A 14,034-nucleotide genomic window follows, 5' to 3' on the forward strand; every position below is an offset into this window, starting at 1 on the left:
TGGAAGGGCACTTGGGGAACCTGGCCCAACAAGTAAACCTGACCCGGGCCATCCTGGTTCTCCAAGCGCTGCCACTCCCTAGGCTTTCACTGGCCTTAAGGGGAAGTTTGTCCTTGCACTGCTTCCGGGACAGTGGAGGCGACGAAGTAATAAACCCGTGGACCCAGATTTCTCAGGTCTTAACACGTTCCCTGAGGCCTAAAGGTGCCCAGGGCCGAGCCCAAAGTGCTTGGGTCAGGGCTCGGTGGAGCGCCGAGGTGAGTCTGAACTCCCAGCCGGCACGCGCCGCCCGCCGGACCAAACACGGGAGGGGGCGGGGCCCTAGAGTCGCGGCGTGGTTTCCCGGGTGATGGCCACGCGGAAGAGGTGGGGCTAGGGCCCTGGTTCCCACTGCCTGGTTTCTGGGCCCCCGGCATCCGAGTCGGCCAAAAGCCGGGCAGAAGAGAGCGCCAAGGACTGGCAGTTCCGGAACGGGCAATCCCAGCCGAGGGGACCAGCGGCAGAGCACGGGTGGGGCTTGGGAGAGGGCGGGGCCCATAGAGGGGCGGGGTTTGGTGAGCGTTGCCGGCGGGCCCGCGGTACCTCCCGCACTCTGACCTGCGGCCCGTAGGTCCGAGCCGGGGACGGCGGCGTCGGTGGGTCATGCTCCGGCACTCCCCCTCGCTGTGGGAGCTGGTGGAGGAGCACGTTCCGCTCCGGGAGCGACGCGAAGTGAAGAGGATTCTGGGGGAGGCGGCGGTGGACCTGAGCCTGGAGCTGCGGGCGGAGGTGGGGAGAGGGAAGGTGGGCCACGCCCCTGGCCTGCCCCACGACTCGGGTGATTTCCCACCTCTGCGGGTCCCTGGCCCTGCCGGGTAACTCCCGAGATCCTATCCTGGTCTCCCCTTTGACTCCGCCCTCTCCCTCACTCCCCCAGCCCCCACCATTCCGGACACTCCCCTCCCCAGTCGCAAGGTATCCCAGCTCTCCTTGCAGGTGGCGATGTTACGGGCACTGCTCCAAGAGGCTCGATCCTCTCAAGCCCCCAGCTCCCGCCCCATCTCTGACCCCTCTTCTCTTCTGGCACCACCGCCTCTCCTAAAGGACCTCTTGCGCCAGGAGCTCCGGCAGTTGCTCCAGGGTCTCCGCCACAAAGCCATCTGTGAGGGCAGGTGGGAGCCTCAGGCCTGGGCCCTTTCCCTAGATACCAGGTGGGCTAGCGCTGCCCCTAACAAGGAGCCAGGGTTGCCTTTTCTGTGGTTTCCAGAAAGGAGCCTCTCAGCTTCCTTCCTGTGCACCTTCTGCAGGGACCAGGCCCAAGCTTGGGTCCAGTATAGCCCCAGGGTCCTGCACTTTGCCTTGGAGGAGCCCAGGTGTGATTTGCCAGAACAGGAGATATTCCAGATGAGAGGTGGTGGGCCCAGGTAAGGTGATGGTAGGAGAGAGGGATCTGTCCCTGCTTGGCAGAGGGCCCTAGCCCACTGGTGGGTTGCACCTGGCTCCATGCAGGAGATTCCAGTCACGGGCTGGGCACTTCCACCGCCACTTGTGATAGAGATTATCAGCCCATGAGGGCTACTGAAACCCAGAGGAAACACCTGCCTAGCCTGGGGACAGGCAAAGCTTCCTGGAGAAAGTGGTTTGATCTGCGTGTTGTAGTATGAGGAGCAGTTTTCAGGGAGATGAAAGAGAAGAGCTTTGTAGGAAGAGGGAAGAAAGGAAGCCATGTCCAGCAGGCGGTTGTTCCTCTGGCCTAGAGAACAGGAGTGAGGGCTGGGCTAGGGAGGCAGGGAGAGCTGAAGAGGATGGTCACAAATGGTATTTACAGCTGGGACTGAATGAGATAAAATATTCATAAGTGGATGGCAGCAACTTCTTATTCTAATCCTCACACAGCCTGAGGAGGTGGGCAAAATCTCCATTTTGCACAAGAGGAAATTAAAGGCCGGGCATAGTGGCTCATGCCTGTAATCCCAGCACTTTGGGAGGCTGAGGCGGGAGGATGGCTTGAGGCCAGGAGTTTGAGATCAGCCTGGGCAATACAGGGAGACCCCATCTTTACAAAAAGTGAAAAAAAAAATAGTCAGGTGAGGTGGCGCATGCCTGTATTCCCAGCTACTTGGGAGGCTGAGGTGGGATAATTGCTTGAGCTCAGGAATTCGGGGCTGCAGTGAGCTATGATTGCACCTGTGCACTCCAACCTGGGTGACAAAGACCCTGTCTCTAAGAAAAAAAAAAAAGAAGCCTGGGCAACATAGTGAGACCCCATCTGTGCAAAAAAATTGAACAGGCGTGGTGGCACGCACCTGTAGTCCCAGCTACTCAGGAGGCTGATGTGGGAAGAGCACTTGAGCCCGGGATGTCAAGGCTGCAGTGAGCCAAGATGGTGCTACTGCACTCCAGCCTGGGCAACAGAGCACAATCTTGTCTCAAAAAAAAAAAAAAAAAAGGAAAAGAAACTAAAGCTCAGAAGCGATAAGTGATTTGCCTGAAGTCACACACAATGAAGGGTGGCAGAGCTCATTTGCAAACCTAGGCTCCCAAACTCTTACTCTTTGCACTATATTATATTGCCTTTGTGAGAAAAGAAACAGTTGCCTAGAAGTGATATTTGGGTCCTGAAGGCCTGGGGTGAGCAACATGCGGAGAGTGATAGTGACTTCATTGCCAGCAGCGGTCACAGAGATCTCAGCATCATCAAGGACCAACTGAACGTGTCCAACATTGACCAGGTGGCCAGACACCTGAGGTGAGGCCCAGGGGCACCTGCATGTGTATAGGCAGGGGTGGAGACAAGGATGGATCTTGAGGTGCTGGGATTGTGAGACAGGAGGTGGGTAGTATACTTGGCGGGGAGGCCCATGTGCGTAAGGCTGAGAGGTGGAAAGAGCTGGCTGCTATAGAGCTAGTGAGGTTGCTTTCAGGAAGCAGCCAAGTACAGATGCCACGGCCGAGCATGATGGTGCATGCCTATAATCCCAGCAATTTGGGAGGCCGAGGCAAGAGGGTCATTTGGGCCCAGGAATTCGAAACCAGCTTGGCCAACATGGGAAAACCCCATCTCTACCAAAACAAATACAAAAATTAGCTGGGCGTGGTGGTGCACGCCTGTACCAGTTACTTGGGAGGCTGAGGTGAGAAGGGATTGATTGAGCCCTGGAAGGTAAGGCTACAGTGAGTCATGATGGGTGGCAGAGCAAGACCCTGTTTCTTTCTTTCTTTCTTTCTTTTTTTTTTTTTTTTGAGATGGAGTCTTGTTCTGGCGCCCAGGCTGGAGTGCAGTGGCGTGATCTTGGCTCACTGCAAGCTCCACCTCCCGGGTTCACACCATTCTCCTGCCTAAGCCTCCCGAGTAGCTGGGACTACAGATGCCCACCACCATGCCCAGCTAATTTTTTTGTATTTTTAGTAGAGGCGGGGTTTCACTGTGTTAGCCAGGATGGTCTCGATCTCTTGATCTCATGATCCGCCCATCTCAGCCTCCCAAAGTGCTGGGATTACAGGCATGAGCCACCTCGCCTGGCCGACCCTGTTTCAAAAATAAATACCTTGACACAGGGGTAGCCTGTGTCAGAGGATTTTAAGCAGCGGAAGGGCTGTGATGTGGGGGAAGATGGAGGCAAGAAGAATCACAGTGCAGAAGTGTGGGAGAGAGAAGGATGCCTGCCAGGGTGAGGCAGGCGAGGGGAAGATACTTCCTGCCCAGAAAGAGCCTCACAGGGGCCAGACGTCTATGCTGGGTCAGCCCCCAAGCAGCAGAGGGCAGTGTGGGCTGAGGAAGGACAGGTTGGGTGGGGCTCCTGCTGAGGCTGGAGGTTGGGGCCATGTGGTGGACTCAGCTGAGCCCTGGTCCTGTGTCTCGGGTTCTGGCTGCTGCTCCCTCATGTCCCAGGGGCCTTCTGGAGGAGGAGTGTCACACCTTGGAGAGGGAGATCCTCATCCTGCAGGTGAGCCGCAGCCCTGGGCCCTCCCCCGAGCCTCACTGCTGAGCGTAGACTCTCACCTGGGTGAGACCCATGTACCTGTGTGCATACATAGGTGCATGTACAGGCTATGTGAGTCCTGCATCCATTTCTCAGGGGTGCATGCTTGTGTGCACCTGCAAAATCCTGGAGGCCCAGGATTCTAGTTGAGCCCTTAAGGCCAGGGCCAACCGTTTTAGGTCTTTTGCCTCCTTCCTTTACCTAAGTCTGGGTACAGGCCCCACCACTATCTTGCCAAACTCAGCTCTTCCGCAAGGCTGGTATTCCCTGGGGAACGTGGCTGCCCTCACGGTGGATGGGCTGAAGGGGCTGCACGGGCCTGCCCTGGGGATCTTGGCCTCTGTATCCTGCCTTGCCCCACCCCTGCCTTGAGTCTGGGCACTGACGCAGCTCTCCCTGCAGCGCTGCCTGGAAGAGGAGTATTTGAGGCCTTGCCACCCCTCTGAGGCAGCCCTGGAGCCCACCCTGGCAGGTGAGGACACGGAGCAGGGCCCAGAACACCCAGCCTCCTGCTCCCACCCCACACTTGTACACACCCTAGAAGAGCTGGGCACTGTCTCAGCCCAATCTCTCCTTCAGAGCTAAAGGAACAGAAGAAGGCCATGGAGCAGGAGCTGCAGGCATCTGTGGGGCCTTCTTGTGTCTCTCCCAACCACAGGTAAACCACAACAGTAGACACAGGGCAGGGTGGACTGAAGGATCAGACCACCACCCCTCACAGTTACTCTTTCTTGTCCAGGCAGCGGCCCTTGGGGTCCTCCACACAGGGCCTCAGACCCCCGCTTCCCCTCTGCGGGGTTGCACCTCTCCAGTGCTGCCTGCCTGCACCTCCTCTGGAGCCCTACCTTCGACCTCGAGGCCAGTCGGCTACCCACCGCTGGGGACGGCAGCTTCAGTGCAGCCCCAGGGAAGGGCCAGCTTCCACACCCATGTCCAGTGCAGCACCCCAAGCCCCAGCCTGAAGGGCTGGTCACCGAGTAGGCTCTGGCTTCTGCCACAGCGCACCTGTCTGCCGCTGCCGCCTCAGCTGCTTTGGCCCAGCCAGCTTCAGATCTGGTCTTGGCGAGCTCTCGCCAGGACCCCAAGGCTGTTGGTCTGTCTGGCCCTTGCCCCACCCCCTTGCCAGATCCCTGGTGTCTGGAGCTGAGTGGCCGGGCATCGGTCCCAAGCATCAAAGCCTTTGGCCTTTCTCCTCCCAGGCCTCCACAAAGGCCTGGCAGACAGAGGTCTCATTCCAGCCTGACTCTTGTCCCCTGGGGGACCCAGACAAAGCACAGCAGCCGCTCAGAGACAGGAATAGAAATTTCATTAAAATCTATGGACTTTAAAATCCTAGTGGTGCACAATGGGCAGGGATGGGCGGCGCACCGTTATTGCTACAGAGGATTAGAGGTGGCTTGGCCGGGGCTGTCACTGCACAGAGGACGGACAAATGAACACTTCAGGGATTCAGACACTTCAGAAGGGGCTCCCACTCCAGAGAGGGGAGGGGCATGTGGGCTGGGGCCATTTGGCACATGAACGAGGGCAGCACATTTGGGAAGACTGGGCCTTTAGCCTCATGGAGGGAGGGCAAGGGGGTGTCGTGCAGGGTCCCCTTCCCCAGGGTGCTGGGCTCAAACCTCCTGTGGAGCAGCCCCCACCCCATCCCCCAGAAACAAATGCTTTGGGCAGGCTGCTGGGTCACGGGCCCCTGCTGGCTGGGCCTGACAGCCAGGCCTGGAATGAGGGGCAGAGACCCCGGAGCAGCCCAGTGAGGTGCAAGCAGGCCTGGAAGACAGACTGAACCCGAGGCTGGGGGCGAGGAGGTGGCGACCACAGAGAATACAATGTTTACAAAAATAATTACACAGATAAACAGGGCTGGGCAGCACAGCCTGACAAGTAACACTGGGCAGTCCCCCAGCCCTTCATCCTGCCCCTAGGGAGGAATAGCCAAATGTGCCTGGCAGAGGCTGGGGTCGGCTCTGAGGGCAGGAGCACTAGTCATGGGGCTGGAGGCCCACCCAGAACCTCAGCTCAGGGCAGGGTATAAGGGTATCGGAGGCCACGTAAAGCCATCCAGGCTGCTGGGGACCTGGCCCGAGACCCCTCCAAAGTGCTTTGGACCTCCCAGCAACCCTCCACTCCCACCCCTCCCCCCAGCTGCTATCTTGGCATCCAAAGGACATGTAAACACTGGGGACATGAGCATGAATGACTGCACTAGCAGTGGTGACCAAGGTGACAGCAGCCGTCCTGGCCAGGGCGTGGCAGGGGGCAGGCAGAGACACCTGGCCTCTGCCTCACCAGTCTCTGCGGTGGGAGCACGGGGTGGGGGTGGGGCCACTCCCCTGGCAGCTGTGCTCATATCCGGGAGTCCTGGAGGCGGCTGGAGCCATTACTGCCCACAATGGGGATCTGCGCCTTGTCCGGGTGCAGTGGCTGGACCTCGAAGCCGTCCTCAGGAGAGGGGGCTATGGTGGGGGCGTAGCGCCCTGTCCGGTGCTCCAGGAGGGCAGGGCCCCAGTCTCTGCTTGGCTTTGTGGCATTTTTCAAACGCTGCATGAGGTAGGCATGGGGCACAGGGGCAGGGCACGTCAGGAGGGAGCCCTTAAGCCCCTTCCAGCTGGCCCCTCCCATTTTGCCTGGCTACCCAGCCTGTCCCTGCCCTCACCTGGAGGAGGGTGTCCCCGTCTGTGCGGCAGAGCCGGAACATGGCGTAGAGGGGGATGCAGAGGACGGAGGACAGAGCCATGAGGAAGCCAATGGCCACGGCCCAGCCTGGGTACTGGTAGTGGTTGTAGGTGATCGGCTGGTACTGGATCACAGTGAAAACTAGAATAAACTGCACGGGGCAGGTGTGGGAGTGGGCGTGAGGCCGACCCAGAGCCCAGACCCCAGGCCATCCCTCTACCAGCACCCTTTCCTCTCTGGTTTCCCAAACTAGAAAAGGGCATTTGGGGCAGAACAGGGACAGCTGTCAACATCTGGGCCGTGGAAGAAGCAGGCAGGGCCGGGGGCCGGAGCGCGGTGAGTGGGAAGGCTCTGCGGAAGGGAGAAGTCTGTCTTTGCCACAGTCCTGAACTGGCCAAGCACAGTAGAGCTGCTGCCGCCTTTGGAATCAGTCAGTTCTGCTCGCTATGGCTCCCCATGGCTAACTGAAGTAAGGCCACATCCTGGGCCTTTAGGCTGTCACCTGGCAGTGTGACCTCAAATTGTCTTGCCGGCCACACTACTCCGCCCTCAGTGTTTCAGTCACACCCAGTGTTTCCCACCCACTCTTCATTTATTCTGGGGAATCATCCTCTGCATCTTCCTCTGTCAAACCCTATGTCAGTGCCCTCTCCTTCAAAAAGCCATCCCAGATTTCCTCCATTTCCTTCTGCAGGGCCTCCCCACGGCGTTTTCCACCTGCTTCCCTTAGAGTGACTTGGTTTAACGTTCCCATAGACCTGAGAGCTCCTGGAATTGCATCAACTCTGGGGGTGCAGTGCCCAGTACAGTGCCTGCCACAGTCTCTTGTGTTGATTTGAACTGATTTGTGCAGAGAGGCAGAGGAGGATGGAAAGAGGGTAGGGCAAAGCCCTGCCTGTCTATGGCCGTGGAGACAGGGACATTCAGCCTGGGGAAGCTCCATGGGCTAGAAATGGTGAGTGTCAGGCTGCGGTGCTCTAGGGAACCTCCTTGGAAAGAGATGAGTGAGATTGGAAATAAAACTTGTGGCTGCAGTAACAAAAGGAGTGAAAGGAGGCAGAAACACAGGCAGTGGCTGGCGGGCCACCCAGAGGGCCTGGCGGGGGAAGGGGGGGGGCAGTCCCAGCACCCTCCTCCTGAGCCTCCAGCCACATCCTGGAGCACAGGGCCATATTCTAGAATGCAAGACCCACATCCAAATTGGGGGACCCTCCGGAGACACTGCACACGATGGGAGCTTATAACAGGTTTCCTGAATGGAACAGATCCTGACCTACGTGTGGACAAATCCCTCATTTGAGCTGACAGAAGGGTGGAGTTTGTCAAAAAGAGCTTTTCAGAAATATGAAAAAGGAAAGCCCCCAGAGAAAACACAACAGCCCAGAAAGCCAGGCTGGAGTTACCCCAAGGAGAGGACTCTAGGCTCCCCTAAAGGTAACTCCAGCCTGGCTTCCTGGGCACAGGAAGAGCCCCGCCCGCTGTGCCTCAATCTTGTGGAGACACCAGATCCCAGCCAAGGTTGCCCCTACAGATCCTTCTTGTGCTTGTCTCCTTCCTCCCCACTGCCCTTGGCAGGTGCCCCCTGGTCTCTCCCCAGGACATCAATCTAGTCTGAATGCTGGGAGACCCTCTGAGCCGCAGAGGCTGAGCTCCCCTTGGGCCATAGCCCCAGAAGGCATGGCACTCTGGGGTGGTGGTGCCTGCCCTCCCCTGCCTCCCACCACTGAGACTTCCGTTCCTCCTGTTTCAAAGCTGGGCCAGTGGCCAGAGCGGGGAGCCTGTGCCAGGCTCGGGAACATCCCACAACCTACCGGGTAGAGGCCTCAGCCCTCCACGGGCCTTTATTCAGAAACATGAGCCACAGGGGAAGTCTGGTGCTGAGCCCCCTGTGCCACCGAGGCATTAAACATGACAAGAGTGTGGCTCTGAACACTGGCCGGGCCACTGGGCCAGCCCTCTGACTATCACTCAGAGGTGGCCTTGCCTGTCCTCTGTGGAGTGACCATTACACTGTCAATACCTGCCTTCCCCGAATCCCACCCCAAACAGGAAGGAGCCAAGTCATACGGTTTTGGCCCCTGGACCATTCCTCCCTCCTGCAGAGGTGTTTCTAGTGTGGCGCTGGCCCAGGCTTGGAATTGGACAACCTGATTTGAATTGTGGCTCTGCCTCTTATTAGCTGTGTGACCATGGGCCAATTACTTAACATCCCCATGCCTCAGTTTCCTCATCTGTAAAGTGGGGACAACAATGACACCTTGGAGAGCTCTATCACGGGTTACATGGGAATGGTGTGTGGAAAGTGCCTGCTTCCTTGCCATGGTGGATTCCTTCCACCAATTCAGCTCCCTGATGGGAATTTCTCAGCTGTTGAATATTCATAAAACCTGGAACTCCCCTTCCCAAGCCACCCACCTCACTGCCTGGAAGGCTTGCAAAGTTGCCCCCATGCAGAGCTGACCTCTGACTCCACAGTCTGGTCTACCAGCCTTGGGCTGCTGCTGGAACACTGGTTCCCACCACATAGCCAAGGCCCTGGAACACCCTCCCTGGAGGGATGGGAGATAAGGCCAGCAGGCAGAGGCTGACACGCTATCGATATTGACTCCTGAGTCCCCGGGGGTGCCAGGCAGGAATGCCTGAGCAACGTCTGCAGTCAAATAAAGGCTGTGGCACTCCCCTCCTAACCTGAGGCCAGGGCCCAGGCAGCTCTGAGTCGCCACACGCCTCTCTGACTCTCTCCAACCTCCCTCAGCCTCCCAAAGGCCAGAGTCATGGGTATGGAGCTCCGGCCAGGTGCGGGAGCTCCCACTGTCCCTCCGCTGGGTCCCAAGAGATGGACACATGGCCAAGGGGCAGCGGGGGAAGGGAGGGGCCGGCCAGGGAACTCACGAAGATGATGGCGGGAGAGACGAAGCGCCAGCAGATCTGAAAGAAGAGGGGTGGTGGGAATCCCAGCATCATCTGGATGTCCTGGAAGTAGTTCCGGTGCCCTGGAGAGATGGGGGGTCAGCAGACCCGCAGGACAGAGTGGGCGGGCCAAGGGCCGGGTCGCGGGAGGCCGGAGGCTCGAGTGCTCACCGTAGATGTACATGATGGCCACACACATGATGCAGGAGATGACCACCAAGGAGAAGCTGGCCGCATAGTTGTCCATCAGCAGCAGCCAATAGATGCCTGCCTGGGGAACAGCGGGCAGCTGTGGGAGGCGCCTGCAGCCCGGGCTCCCCAACCCTTCCCTGCACGTCCTGGCAACTCTGGGCCAGCCCTTCCCTTACGCAGCTCTTACCTGGCTGGTGAGGGGGATGCCCAGCAGGAAGCCAGCCACAGCCACGCCCAAGGTCACATAGGTCTTTTTCTGCAGGATCCACTCATTCCCCACCTCATCCACAATGGCTGTGACCAGCGTCTCCAGGAGGCAGAACTGCAGGATGTGGCTGTCAGATCGGAGACCTGCCCCTTGTTCCTGTCCCCTCCCTTCCCCAAGCCTCCGGTCCACGTCCTGCACCTCGTACCTGAGTGCCCAGCCCCAGCAGGATAAGCATGAAGAAGAAGAGCAGAGACCACAGCGGGGAGATGGGAAGTAGTGTGAGGGCCTCGGGGTAAGCCACGAAGGCCAGGCCAGGGCCGTGGTCTGCCACACGGGACACATCCACGCCCAGGTGATTGGCCATGAAGCCGAGGATGGAGAAGATGACGAAGCCAGCATAGACGCTGGTGGCACAGTTGGTGATGCTGATGATGACACTGTCCCTGATGGGGAGGAAAACAGAGTTCAGCTTCCCTCTCCCCAATTTGGGCCAAGAGGAGACATGGAGACACGGAAAGTTCTAGGTACAAAGGCACCCCCAACTCTTTTTTTTTGGAGTGGGAGACAGGGTCTCACTCTGTTGTCCAGGATGGAGTGCAATGGCGCTATCACAGCTAACTGTAGCCTTGACCTCTTGGTCTCAAGCAATCCTCCCACCTCAGCCTCCTAAGTAGCTGGGACTACAGGTGTGTGCCACCACACCCAGCTAATTTTCTTTTTTATGTTTTATAAAGAAAGATGGGGTCTCACTATGCTGCCCAGGCTTGTCTTGAATTCCTGGGCTCAAGTGATCCTCCCGCCTTGGCCTCTCAAAGTGCTGGGATTACGGCGTGAAGCACTGAGCCTGGCCCCCAACTCCTTTTCTGGTCTGTTCTGGGCATTTTTAAGGAGCCTGAGCTGCCTGAGTCCTCACAGACCCCTGGGACATCACTGTCCCTATCTCTCTTCTCTCTCCTGCCTAAACCTCTCTCCTCATTCTCCAACAACTTTATCCAGAACCAGTATTCCCAGAACCTCAAGATCATGAGGGGAAAGGAGGCCTCGTGGGCCCATGGCTGCACTGGAGCTGAGATCAGGCTGCAGAGAGTGCAGGAAGGGGGCAGCCTCAGCCCAGCAGGGAGCACTCACCGGTAACAGTTATTGTGGAACTTGTTGTAGGAAGCCATGGTGATGAGGCCTCCCCACGCGCAGCCCAGTGAGTAGAAGATCTGGGAGGCAGCATCACCCCACACCTGCAGGGAAGGACCGGTGGGTGAGGAGCTGTGGGCAGAGGCAGGCACCTCCCTGGCCCCTCCCCAGCCCCCTTCCGGTTTCCCTCACTTCCCACCTTGGCCTCCAGGATCTTGTCCCACTGCGGGGTTAGGTAGTACATGATGCCGTCAAAGGCTCCCTCCAGGGTCACTCCGCGGACAAACAGAATGGTCAGCACCACGTAGGGGAACGTGGCCGTGAAGTACACCACCTGGCACAAGAGGGCTCCATGGACTCTTCTGGGCTCTCCCCTCCCCTGGGCACCACCACCCTGGCTCCCTAATCACCACCAGCCCCCTGGTCCCTCTCCGGCTCCGGAGTCCCTTCAGCATCCCCTCCCTGCAATACACACATAACCCAGGTAGGGGGCAGGGTCTTTCTGGGTGGGCACAGACCCTGCTGGGGAGGGGTACTTGCTTTCCCTGAAGACTTGACCCCTCGGATGAGGCAGAGGAAGACGACCAACCAGGAGACACCGAGGCAGCCAAGGAGGGGCAGCCGCACCTCCCCAAAGTTCCCAATGTCATCTGACAGCTTCAGCACGTACAGCCTGGGAAGGGGAGACTCTGTCACTGAGGGCCAGCCGCCGCTGCCCAGCAACAAATTCCCAAGGCCCAGGGCCCACCCGGGCTGTACCCTCCTTTGTCATGAGGTCCCAGCAGCCACCTTGTGTGACATGGGAGCTACTTCAGGGGCCCAGCCCTGGCCGGCCCAGTCCCCTCCACCTGCTGCAGCCCCTGGGGAGCCCAACACAGTCCACTGCTCTGCAGCCTTTCCCAGGCCCTTCAAGGGCTCCTGGAGGCCACACCCCAGGCTTGGGTGGTCTTCCTAGTTCCTGGGCGAGGAGATCTCCTTGTCCCCAGTTGGGCTCAGCCCAGGTCCTTGTTTGCACACTTCTCCCTTCAGGAATGCCTTTTCCTCATTCTGTCAGGTGTCACCTCCTCCAGGAAGCCACCAGTGAGCATTTCACGTGCACCAATTAGCTCTATCTCTGATAAATTGAGGGAAGCAGTGGAATGCTCAGTAAAGATTGGACCCTGGCTGGGTGTGGTGGCTCACACCTGTAATCCCAGCACTTTGGGAGGCCGTGGTGGGTGGATCACCTGAAGTCAGGAGTTCAAGACCAGCCTGGCCAATATGGTGAAACCCCGTCTCTACAAAAATTAGCCGGCCATGATGGCGGGTGCCTGTAATCCCAGCTACTCGGGAGGCTGAGGCAGGAGAACTGCTTGAACCCAGGAGGTGGAGGTTGCAGGGAGTGGAGATTGTGCCACTGCACTCTAGCCTGGGCAACAAAGCAAAAGTCCAATCTCAAAAAAAAAAAAAAAAAAAAAAAAGATTGGACCCAAATTTCTCCCCTCTGGGTGGCTCCATCTGGCACCCTATGTCATACCAGCTGTGATCTTTTGATCAATCAGACATTTACGTGCCCGGGCCTGTGCTAAGTGCTGGGCATACAGGCCTGCAGGGGCATCTCCCCAGCCCTCAGGGAAGAGGGCAAAGAACAACTGCTCTACCTCCAGCACCAGCATTCAAAGTAAAGAAACCATTTCTTGTTTGAAGGATTTTTTTTTTTTTTGACACAGTCTTGCTCTGTCACCCAGGCTGGAGTGCATTCGTGCGATCTGGGCTCACTGCAACCTCCGTCTCCCAGGTTCAAGCGATTCTCCTGCCTCAGCCTCCCGAGTAGCTGGGATTACAGGTATGCACCAATACGCTGGGCTAATTTTTGTATTTTTAGGAGAGATGGGGATTTCACCATGTTGGCCAGGCTGGTCTCAAACTCCTGACCTCAGGTGACCCACCTGCCTCAGCCTCCCAAAGTGCTGGGATTACAGGCGTGAGCCACCACGCCTGGCCTGAAGGATTTTTTAATACTTTGTCTAACCATATATGCTAAACAGGTAGTGTTTTATATTATTATTATTGAGACAGGGTCTTGCTCTATAGCCCAGGCTGGAGTGCAATGGCACAATCATGGCTCACTGCAGCCTCGACCTCCCAGTCTCAATCGATCCTCCCACCTCAGCCTCCCGAGTAGATGGGACTACATGTGTGCACCACCATGCCCAACTAATTTTTGTATTTTTTGTAGAGATATGGTATCGCCATATTGCCCAGGCTGGTCTCGAATGCCTGGGCTCAAGCAATCCTCCTGCCTCAGCCTCCCAAAGTGCTGGGATTACAGGCATGAGCCACCGCACCTGGCCTATATTATTTTTGACTGCAAGAATATAGCGTTACAGTGTTAGGGACTGAAGAGTTTAAAAGGCTAGCCTGGAAACCAAATGATGAATTCTAGCTTTATTTTTAGGGCATCATATTCTGTTTTTTGTTTGGTTTTGGTTTTGGACCACATGCTTTTGAGATCAAACAGCCTAAGGACATTTGGAACCCAACGTATTTACAAGTGACCTCTTGACACATGACATCTCCAGAATTACTCTGCGTTGCTTTAAAAATGTCTCCACATGACAAATCTTATTTCCCCGGCCAGGTGGTGAGTGCCTTGAGAACAGGACCCTCAGGAACAGGTCCCACAGGGGCTGTGGTTGTGCTGCCTGAGCTCCTATCAGCAGTCTTAGTGATTTAGGCTGCATTATCTCATTTTGTCTTTAAAACCAGGTAGGTATCACGACTGCCCAATTTCATGGACAAATGACTGTGAACGACCTCCCAAGGCCACAGCTAATATGCGACAGAGCCAGGATTTGGGAGGAGTCTGTGTGACTCCAGAGCTGCCATGAAGACCCTGGGGGACAGGAGCTGGGCCCCACAGGGACCGCAGAGGTGAGAAGGCCTGGTCACGAGTTTAGGACCCAGTAGCAGGTATCA

General features: G+C 57.4%; 2 protein-coding genes across 21 annotated transcripts in view, besides 3 other annotated features; one reads left to right on the plus strand and one right to left on the minus strand.

The window, feature by feature from the left end:
• Window positions 1-362: 362 nt before the first annotated feature.
• Window positions 363-5,292, plus strand: CCDC24 (coiled-coil domain containing 24). 5 transcript variants are annotated; one of them, NM_152499.4, is made up of 9 exons: window positions 363-510; window positions 611-768; window positions 976-1,151; window positions 1,287-1,403; window positions 2,651-2,728; window positions 3,872-3,926; window positions 4,365-4,434; window positions 4,542-4,620; window positions 4,702-5,292. In NM_152499.4, the coding sequence occupies exons 2-9, from the start codon at window positions 643-645 to the stop codon at window positions 4,922-4,924; spliced, it is 924 nt and encodes a 307-aa protein (NP_689712.1). In that variant the 5' UTR covers window positions 363-510; window positions 611-642; the 3' UTR covers window positions 4,925-5,292. The 5 variants fall into 5 exon arrangements, 4 of the variants coding, with proteins under 4 accessions (NP_689712.1, NP_001336056.1, NP_001336057.1 ...); NM_001349127.2 differs by having other exon boundaries at window positions 4,706-5,292; NM_001349128.1 differs by lacking the exon at window positions 363-510 and having other exon boundaries at window positions 976-1,190; window positions 2,654-2,728.
• Window positions 517-626: a silencer, noted in NCBI's record as "silent region_801". NCBI's record gives its function as "represses an Ori minimal core promoter by ATAC-STARR-seq in GM12878 lymphoblastoid cells {active_cell/tissue: GM12878}" and the evidence as "EXISTENCE:reporter gene assay evidence [ECO:0000049][PMID:35858748]".
• Window positions 767-816: a silencer, noted in NCBI's record as "silent region_802". NCBI's record gives its function as "represses an Ori minimal core promoter by ATAC-STARR-seq in GM12878 lymphoblastoid cells {active_cell/tissue: GM12878}" and the evidence as "EXISTENCE:reporter gene assay evidence [ECO:0000049][PMID:35858748]".
• Window positions 3,601-3,895: an enhancer, noted in NCBI's record as "tiled region #11322; HepG2 Activating DNase matched - State 12:CtcfO, and K562 Activating DNase unmatched - State 5:Enh". NCBI's record gives its function as "activates a minimal TATA promoter and a strong SV40 promoter by Sharpr-MPRA in HepG2 and K562 cells {active_cell/tissue: HepG2 | K562}" and the evidence as "EXISTENCE:reporter gene assay evidence [ECO:0000049][PMID:27701403]".
• Window positions 5,247-14,034, minus strand: part of SLC6A9 (solute carrier family 6 member 9) — a 34,980-nt gene continuing 26,192 nt past the window's right edge. For 11 of the 16 annotated variants that reach the window (NM_001328626.2, NM_001024845.3, XM_047428739.1 and 8 more), the window contains 9 exons: window positions 11,617-11,749; window positions 11,276-11,410; window positions 11,077-11,180; window positions 10,154-10,391; window positions 9,928-10,062; window positions 9,720-9,819; window positions 9,531-9,631; window positions 6,619-6,789; window positions 5,247-6,503 (listed from right to left, as the gene is read on the minus strand). In NM_001328626.2, the coding sequence (NP_001315555.1) occupies window positions 6,309-6,503; window positions 6,619-6,789; window positions 9,531-9,631; window positions 9,720-9,819; window positions 9,928-10,062; window positions 10,154-10,391; window positions 11,077-11,180; window positions 11,276-11,410; window positions 11,617-11,749 (1,312 nt within the window). In that variant the 3' untranslated portion in view covers window positions 5,247-6,308. Of the gene's footprint in view, window positions 6,504-6,618; window positions 6,990-9,530; window positions 9,632-9,719; window positions 9,820-9,927; window positions 10,063-10,153; window positions 10,392-11,076; window positions 11,181-11,275; window positions 11,411-11,616; window positions 11,750-14,034 lie in introns of those variants that run through there. The other 5 variants (XM_047428744.1, XM_047428743.1, NR_048548.2 and 2 more) reach the window with 4 other exon arrangements.

Source organism: Homo sapiens, chromosome 1 (assembly GCF_000001405.40).
Source record: "Homo sapiens chromosome 1, GRCh38.p14 Primary Assembly".
Lineage (NCBI taxonomy): Eukaryota > Metazoa > Chordata > Mammalia > Primates > Hominidae > Homo > Homo sapiens.

Coding starts and splice junctions, on each gene's coding strand:
- CCDC24 (NM_001349128.1), top strand. CDS start 643: ATGCTCCGGCACTCCCCCTCGCTGTGGGAGCTGGTGGAGGAGCACGTT. Junction 769..975: donor GCCTGGAGCTGCGGGCGGAG/GTGGGGAGAGGG, acceptor CTCTCCTTGCAG/GTGGCGATGTTACGGGCACT. Junction 1,191..1,286: donor GCCCTTTCCCTAGATACCAG/GTGGGCTAGCGC, acceptor CACCTTCTGCAG/GGACCAGGCCCAAGCTTGGG.